At 57.4% G+C, this 8,464-nt stretch overlaps 1 protein-coding gene across 32 annotated transcripts in view; it reads left to right on the forward strand.

Moving 5' to 3' along the window:
- Window positions 1-6,583, forward strand: part of BANP (BTG3 associated nuclear protein) — a 128,081-nt gene extending 121,498 nt beyond the window's left edge. For 30 of the 32 annotated variants that reach the window (NM_001384941.1, NM_001384931.1, NM_001384936.1 and 27 more), the window contains 2 exons: window positions 1,334-1,477; window positions 5,855-6,581. In NM_001384941.1, coding sequence (NP_001371870.1) covers window positions 1,334-1,477; window positions 5,855-5,926 — 216 coding nt within the window. In that variant the 3' untranslated portion in view covers window positions 5,927-6,581. Of the gene's footprint in view, window positions 1-1,333; window positions 1,478-5,854 lie in introns of all 32 variants that reach the window. The other 2 variants (NM_001173542.1, NM_001173543.1) reach the window with 1 other exon arrangement.

The following is an 8,464-nucleotide window of genomic DNA, read 5'->3' on the forward strand; positions in this document are numbered from 1 at the left end:
ATGTGGCACAAAATATTTTTTTGCATTTTTTTCTGTCATTAAAAATCATTTAAAAGCCATTCTCAGTTCACAGCTGTACAAAAGCAGCCAGCAGGTTTGCTCTGGGCGCCGTACTTTGCTAACCTCAATGTAGAGTGAATTATACTTCGTATCTTTAAAAGGCTTGTCTTCTAGCATTGCAGGTGAACTTTGCTTAGAAACATAACTATTTTTAAAAGCACATGTAGGTGAAGTCTAGTCTTTAAAAGCACTTGCAGGTGAAAGCCCTGGTCCGGCGCTGTCTCTGCAGTGTGTTTGCGGGGGCCAAGTTTGCTCTGTGCAGTGCTGCTGTTGTCCAGGGCAGGTCCCACGGAGGGGATGCTGCGGCCAGGCTCCGTGGGGTGGGGCACCCTGCGACGGGCTGCTCCTCTTCCCAGGGCCACCGGTGAGACTCTCAGTGCACAGAGTGCGGTTCTGTGTGGAGGTGTGGGATGCATCTCCTGGCCCTCCCGTAGTGGGGTGCAACCCCAAGTGAAGACCCCGTGGCTCATGTCAAGTGCCCTCAGGGCTGGGGCTGCCCACCCGCCTGCCTGGGCCGTCTTGACACCGGAGCTGCCTGCCTGGATGTTGGAGCGCCCAGTGGATTGAGTGGGAAGTGGGCCTGGGTGCTTACAGGCGATGGGGTCACCAGAGCCCACCCAGGGGCCTCGCCTGTCCCCCATTCTCATTCCATACTCTGGGAGGCGGTACAAGGTCGGGAGGGCCAGCGGGGCTCTCTGCCACCAGGACTCACTTCCGCCCATCTTGGAACTGGGCCTCACTTTCCTGCGAGCTTCTGCTGGGTTCTCAGTGCCCACCAGCAGCTCCTTTGCTCTCCCTGAGCCCTTGAGGTCACTCTGCCTTGGGAATGGGGAGGGTTTGGGTCTCAGCCTCACGCTCACGGTCCTGGCTTGGATTTTAGGCCTCAGTGGCACTCTGGGAGCGCTTGTGCTCTTCATGGTTGCCACTGGGATTTTCCAGGAGGCTCTGTGGCATTTGCTGTTGCTCTCTTTTTCTGTGGAAGCTCTGCCTTGCTTTTTTTTTTTTCCCTTTTTTCTGCTCTGTAGGTGCTTGAGGGCGGAGTTGCAGATCCAGCAGAGACTCGATGGCACTCTCTCACTGGATCTGATGCGACTTGAGAGCGATGGGGAGACAGGATGTGCCGCAGAGTCCTCGGTGTGGCCCTGAGGCCGTGTCCCTGCCGCTCAGGGGACAGCACGTGTGGGCTGGGGTCTGCGGTCTGTGGAGCCATGTGGGTTGTGGGTTGTGGGTTGTGGGCCACGCCGCTGACGGGCCCCCGTGTGTCTCCCTCCAGGTGCTGCAGGGTGCACAGCTGATCGCCGTGGCCTCCTCGGACCCCGCGGCGGCGGGCGTGGATGGGTCGCCACTCCAGGGCAGCGACATCCAGGTTCAGTACGTGCAGCTGGCGCCAGTGAGTGACCACACGGCCGGGGCACAGGTGAGTCTGGGGCCCCGCGCCGGGACACTGAAGTGATGGCATGGCCGCCTGCCGCTGCCACCGGGCACACGTGGCCCCGGGGCTTTCTCGTGACTCTTCCTGTGCAGAGGGCACGTGATTGGACACAGATGCCCATCTGAGGGTTCTACGTCTCACACTCACCGTGAACGTGAAGGTGAGAAGGTAGATCCTGCCCCAGTTCCAAATTCCAACTGATTCTTGAGACTGTCTTGTGGAAATGTTTGTAAATTCAGGGGCAGAAGTGAAGCTCTGCCCTGTCCTCCCTCCACACAGCCCTTTCCTGTGGGCTGGGGAGCATGGGGGCCCCTTTAGCCGGAGAGCTCCCTGCCCCACTCGTTGAAGGTCTCAGCTCGGGGCAGAGCCAGTACCTCGGGCTGCTGTGGCCCTAGCGTCCACGAAAACAAAGCGCAGGGCTGCTGTGCTCTGTGGATGGCCCAGCGGGCCCAGGCCAGCATCTCCATACCTCGCAGGCAGAAGCCCCCGAGGGTGAGGCCGTGCCGAAATCTCCAGCGTGGCCGAGGCCCAGACAAGAGCCCCGTGATGCCGTGGGCTGTTTGCTCTGAACACTGGAGGCAGAAGGTGGCCCTGCATCCGGGAGCAGTCTTGGCCCCGCAGCCTCCGTGCCACCTGCTTTGGGAACGTGCCCAGCGGGGACGTTGTCCTTGTTCTACCTCCAGCCTGGTGGTTGGCTGCTGCCCAGCCCTTCTGGAACATTCTGGCCGCTGTCTTTGGGTCTGTTCCGCTCCTTTCTGTGGACCCAGCGCTGGTGATCCACCTGTGTCTTGATGCCATCCACCTTCAGTGCTTAGAATTAAAATCCTAGATGTCTGAGCAGCCTTTCCCTGCTCCCCGGGCACTGCTGAGGGCAGGTGTGCCCCTCAGCCCTCGGGAAGAGAGGGGTCCTCCTCAGGAGGCGCTTGCTGAAGAAGTGGGCTCGGTAGAGCTCACGCTCACCAGGGTGCGCAGGTCGCCAGGCTGGGCGGTTCTGCAGTCCCTCAGCCGCGACAGCCGTGTGATGATGTCAGTGCTCACCTGACGCTCACGTCTTCACAGCGGGGCAGCTGCGGGCCCAGAGTTTAAGGACCCGTGTCCTGTAGAAGGTCTGGCCCCTCCTCTGGCCTGAGCATTCCTGCTGTGCCCATGGGCACGGTGGCCCCTGCAGAGGCACGCCCTGTACTCTGCCCATGGGCGCGGTGGCCCCCGCAGAGGCGCGCCCTGTACTCTGCGTGGTGTTTGGTTCCACATTGTCGCCGACCTCACTGGAGATGCGCTGGAAGCACGGTGAGGGCCATGGGCGCAGAACGCACAGGCAGTGAGGAGCGGGTGGGTGGGATGGTGAAGGCAAACTCGTTCGGCAGCGCTTATTTTATGTGGTGTGAACCTTGGCCTGTCCGTGAAGAACAGTCAGGCGTGGCTGCCTCAGCCCCTGCCGAGGACGCGTGGCAGCCCCCCGTGCCGTTCCAGATAGGAGCGCTGCAGGAGGGCAGTGAGGTCCGCGCCCAGGAAACTAGATGTGGGGGCCATGCCTGAGGGCGTCCTGCTGCATTATAAGTTTCTGGTCATTTTCCGATTTCAGAATTGAACAAACCTGTGTCCCATGGTTGGTGTTTACACCCCTAGCTTCCTGTAAGCTCTCTCTGTTACCATGCCCTCCTGGCAGGCCCCAGGTGAATGATTTAATTAGGATCCATCGTAACAGCCAAGGAAGACGGCGTGCTTAAGGGGCCGCTTTCCCTGCAGAAAACCCCAGCGTGGTTGGACTTGGTGGTGAGCGGGTTTGCCCATCTGAGGCCAGACAACTGCAGGGTGCGTTAGCTTGTCACCAAGGGCCCAGCTCTCTGCCTTACCATCTCAGCTTGTCCTCAGGCTAGCTCTGCCCCACTGGGAAGTGACCGAAGGCCTTCATGGTGACTCTGCAGGCGTGACTGCACCCAACAGAGACAGGTTTCTGGTTGAGCCTCCTTATCCACATGAAGCCCCCACCCCAGTCATGCTTGGGAATGGTCTTGCATCTTGCATGGGTCAGAGCAGGGTCACGCGCTTGAGCTCGTTCTAGGAAAACCTGTGGCTCAGCTGTGAGGGCCTGGCTCTGAGAAGATGGGTTCCCTTAGGAGGGAAGGCAGGTAGCTGGCCTGTGGGGGTGGCCAATCCTCAAAGTGGAGAGTGGGGCCTGTTCCCTGGAGCAGTGGGTTGGGAGGGTAGGGGGGTGCCATTTGCAGGGGAAGACACTTGTCTTAATGCGCGGTGGCCTGTGGGTGTCACAGGCTCCCTGAACCATCTGTAGCAGAGGCAGCACCTCCACCAGCCTCTGCCCAGAACACAGGTCTGGCCACTGTCCTTGGAGGGCAAGTGAGTCCCAGCCAGCCCAGACCTGTGCCCCACTGTCCCCACCCACCCAAGTCCCCAGCTGCCTTTCCAGCTGTCTGGGGGAAGGGGCTTTGCATCCCAGGCGGTGGCCCCCCTACCCCAACCTCCCATGGCCTTCAGCCACCCACCCCAGGGCCCTGGTGTGGCTCCTCCATTCCAGCTGAGGTTCACCCCTTCCCGTTAGGCCTTCCCAGCTGTGGCCGGGCTCGCAGGAGACAGTCCTCATACTGACCCCTCATCCTACCCTGGAAGGCCCCTCCTCCATCCAGGGAACAGTATATCGAGTGTCATTTGACATTTGTCTTGAAAAAGCACAACCTGGACCAGGTGCAGTGTTTCATGCCTGTAATCCCAGTGCTTTGTGAGGCCGAGGCAGGGGCGTTGCTTGAGCCCAGGACTTCAAGACCAGCCTGGGCAACGTAGCGAGACCCCCATCTCTACAAAACGTAAAAAAATTAGCTGGGGCCGGGCACGGTAGCTCACGCCTGTAATCCCAGCATTTTGGGAGGCTGAGGCAGGCCAATCACCTGAGGTCAGGAGTTCGAGACCAGCCTGCTCAACCTGGTGAAACCCCATCTCTACTAAAAATACAAAAATTAGCCAGGCATGGTGGCAGGTGCCTGTAATCCCAGCTGCTCGGGAGGCTGAGGCAGGAGAACTGCTTGAACCCGGGAGGCGGAGGTTGCAATGAGTCGAGATTGCGCCACTGTGCTCCAGCCTAGGTGACAGAGTGAGACTCCGTCTCAAAAAAATTTAGCCGGGCGTGGTGGTGTGCACTGGTGGTCCCAGCTACTTGGGAGGCTGAGGTGGGAGGATCACTTGGGCCCATGAGGTCGAGGCGGCCGTGAGGTGTGCTTGCACTACTGCACTCCAACCTGGGCAACAGAGCAAGACCCTATCTCTAAAAAATAAAATGAAGCAGGACCTTAACTAGAGTAGAAGTTGCCAGGCCTCTTCCTCCCGTGGGCTCGGCCGTGGGCTCGTGGCTTCTCCTGGCTCTTCCTTTGTGGTTCCTGTGCCTTCCAGCTGAAGCTTCTGGGAGTGTGCACGGCAGCCCTAGAGTGGGCTCCTCCACCTGGGGCGTGTTCCGTGTGGCTGAGCTGGAGGATGAGTGACTTATTCCAAGACTGTATGTTTTTCCTTTACTTTTTTTTTTTTTTTTTTGAGATGGAGTCTGGCTCTGTTGCCCAGGCTGGAGTGCATTGGTGCAATCTCGACTCACTGCAACCTCTGCCTCTTGGGTTCAAGTGATTCTCCTACCTCAGCTTCCCTAGCAGCTGGGACTACAGGTGTGCACCGCCACACCGGCTAATTTTTGTATTTATTGTAGAGACGAGGTTTCACCATTTTGGCCAGCCTAGGCTTGAACTCCTGACCTCAAGTGATTCACCTGCCTCAGCCTCCCAAAGCCCTGGGATTATAGGCATGAGCCACTGCGCCCGACCTCCTTTAACTCATTTTAAGATAAAGCTGTGATTTCGTACTTGAAGTCCTTTTAATATCTGTAACTCGTTGACCAGAACCTGTATCTTTGAGGGAAGAATCATAGCTGCCCCGAAAATCCTTTGTTGAAACATTGGGACAGTGTTTATAGGAAGGCAAAATGGTACCTGAAGCTTCAGGGAAATATCTTCGGGAGGGCCAGGATGTTCTCCACTTCCAGGTTACTTCCCAGTGAGGCAGCGGGTTGGGGGTGGAGAGGCAGGAGCAGCTGCTGCGCCGGCCCCGGTGACGGAGTCCATGTCGGGGGCGGGCCGGGGCCTGGGTGTGCCGGAGCCTCCCTGGGCGCCAGGGTCGTGGGCGCGTCGTTCCGCTGGGAGCCAGGCGTTGTGTACCAAGTCGGGTGAGCCTTGGGGCCGTCAGGGCTCCTTCGCGCTCCTGTGTGCGTGTTTCTCATTCTGCCTTAAAGTCACTGGCTGTTCATGACACCCCCTGGCCATGCAGTGCTGGGTATTTTTCTAGAAAGTCCCTCCTTTCTCCCTTTTGCAGACGGCCGAAGCCCTGCAGCCCACGCTACAGCCGGAGATGCAGCTCGAGCACGGGGCCATCCAGATTCAGTGAGCGGTGCCCATGGCACCAGGAGCCCCTCGCCGGCTCCGCCTACGGCCCGGCCCCCACGCGCCCTGCTCTCACGGCCTCGGCACAGGCAGCGGCTGCACGTGTTCTGCTGAAGTGCGTCTGAAGGCCGCTGCCTCCGCGGGGAACAGCATCCTATCAACTGAAAGAGCAGCCGCCGCCGCCCCCAGCCGGAGACCCCTTTCGTTTGAGTCCTGCTGTTGGTGTCGGAGCACGAGGGGAGGCACGGTGCGGAGAGCGTCGCATATGCGCGGGAAATCAAGAACTATGATATTTTTCTGTTTAAACAGCTTTTTTTAATTTGCTATGGTGTTTATAACAAAAAAGAAAATTTGAAAAAAAAAATCCCAGGGGAGTAGCAGGAGCCCTTTGCTGTGTGCTCTGTCCAGTGTCATGAGACGGGAGCCCTTTGCTGTGTGCTCTGTCCAGTGTCATGAGACGGGAGCCCTTTGCTGTGTGCTCTGTCCAGTGTCATGAGACGGGAGCCCTTTGCTGTGTGCTCTGTCCAGTGTCATGAGGCAGGTGTTTGCAAAGCCAGCTCTCGGTTCCGATGGGGTATTGCTGACCTACTTTTCTAGGGGAAATGCTCTTAAACACTGTAATTATGCATTTCTAATGAAATAAAATGTATTTATGACCACAGCAGCCTTACGCTTTTCCTCCTGCGAGACGGTTCGCCAGAGAGTGCCTGTCCCTGGGGGGTTGGGCTCGCTGGCCTTCAGGCCACGCTGCTGCCCTCTCCACTGTGCAGACAGTAGGTGTGGGCACCCCGGGACAGTCAGTTCTGTTTCCGTGTTGTAGGCACTGCCGAGGGGAAACCTGGTTTAGGACACAGCTGTGGAACTTCTTGTTCTCATAAACCACAGAGTTCTGCCAGCTCCAGAAGGCACAGTCCTGGGGTCCTTAGAGAAAGTTGCAGCCACAGGGGCAGGCCCTACTATTTACAGATTTTTTTAAGGCAGAGATAATATCTGCAAATAGAAGTGCCAGAGGCAGTTGAATCCCTGGTGACCAGCCGGGCCTGGACTGCTTCACCTACACCGTTGTGGCAGTTGCGTTAGGGGCTTGGGAAGGGCCTACGTGAAGCCGTGTTCGCTGACTTAGAGCGGGGCCTCTCTGGGCTTTCTCTGGGAGGAGTTCCGCGTTGCCATCCAGACGGTCGTAGCTCCAGCCTGCTCCACCCCGTCAGGATCCTGGGCTGGGTCCCCTTGGGGGTGAGGGTCTGGGATGAGCTGCTCTCGAAAGGGGGATGGCGCTCATGGGTTCTGCGTCTCCATCGTGGTGGGGCCGCCTCTGAAGATGGCCACCACAAGGAGCCGGGCCGAGGCCTCCCAGGAGGTCACCGGAGCTTGGCCACTCTCCAGGAGACAGAAAGGACCAGCTGGGAGGCAGGGTGTAGAAAGTCAAATCCACACGTGTATGACTGGAATCCCAGGAGAGAATGGAGAGAACAGAAGGAAGATGCATTTCAAGGATTCAGGAAGTAGAATAGAACCCCAAGGAGAAACGAACATCAGTCTCTGCCTCGACACACTCAAGTATCACAGGCAGAGATAATTTTGACAGCAGCCAGAGAGAAAGGACAGATGCCTGCGATGGGATGAAAGCAAGGCAGCAGGCGTGGGCACCCACTGGCCGCTGGGTGGAGGGGGAGCCACTGGTGCAGAGGAGGGAGCTCTCGGTGTGGGGCTGGGTCTTCAGTGAACCTGTTGTTCAGGATGCTAGTGACATGCCACCAATTGACCCAGCAGTTCCACTTGTGGGGATCCACCCCGGAGCTCTGAAGACAGCTGCTCACACATGCACTTGTGCCTGGCTGTGCCCAGCAGCACGGCTCATACCAGCCACAGGGTAGACGCAACCTGGGTTTCCATCAGCAGATGAAGGGAGAAACAAAGCTGACTGTCCAAAGAATGGGACGTCATCCAGCCACGTGAAGGAACAGAACATGGATGCGTGCTGCATCCCGGCCAGCACTCAGAGGAGCTGTGCCAAGTGAAGCCACGTGCAGAGGACCACTTACTGTTTGATTCCATTGATACGAAATGTCCAGAAAAGACAACTGCAGAGAGACCGGTTCGTGGTTGCCAAGGACTGGGGTGAGGCAGGATTGGGAGTGACTGCGAATGGGCGTGGGGTTTCTTTTTGGGTGATTAGAATGCTGTGGAATTGAAAGTCGCTGAATCCTTCACTTAAAAGGGCGAATTTGTTGGCATATAAATTATCTCAAAATTACAAAAATAAAGAATTAGGTGATACTTAAAAAAATGTATAAACAAAAATTGAGGCCGGGTGCGGTGGCTCACGCCTATAATCCCAGCGCTTTGGGAGGCTGAGGTGGGAGGATTGCTCGAGCCCAGGAGTTAGAGACAAGACTGGGCAATATAGTGAGACCCCATCTCTACAAAAAAATACAAAACAATGAGCTGGGTGTGGTGGCACGCACCTGTGGTCCCAGCTACTTGAGTTCCTGAAGTGAGAGTATCACTTGAGCCCAAGAGGTTGAGCTGAAGTGAGCTATGA

The sequence above is a fragment of the Homo sapiens genome, chromosome 16, assembly GCF_000001405.40.
Source record: "Homo sapiens chromosome 16, GRCh38.p14 Primary Assembly".
Classification (NCBI taxonomy): domain Eukaryota; kingdom Metazoa; phylum Chordata; class Mammalia; order Primates; family Hominidae; genus Homo; species Homo sapiens.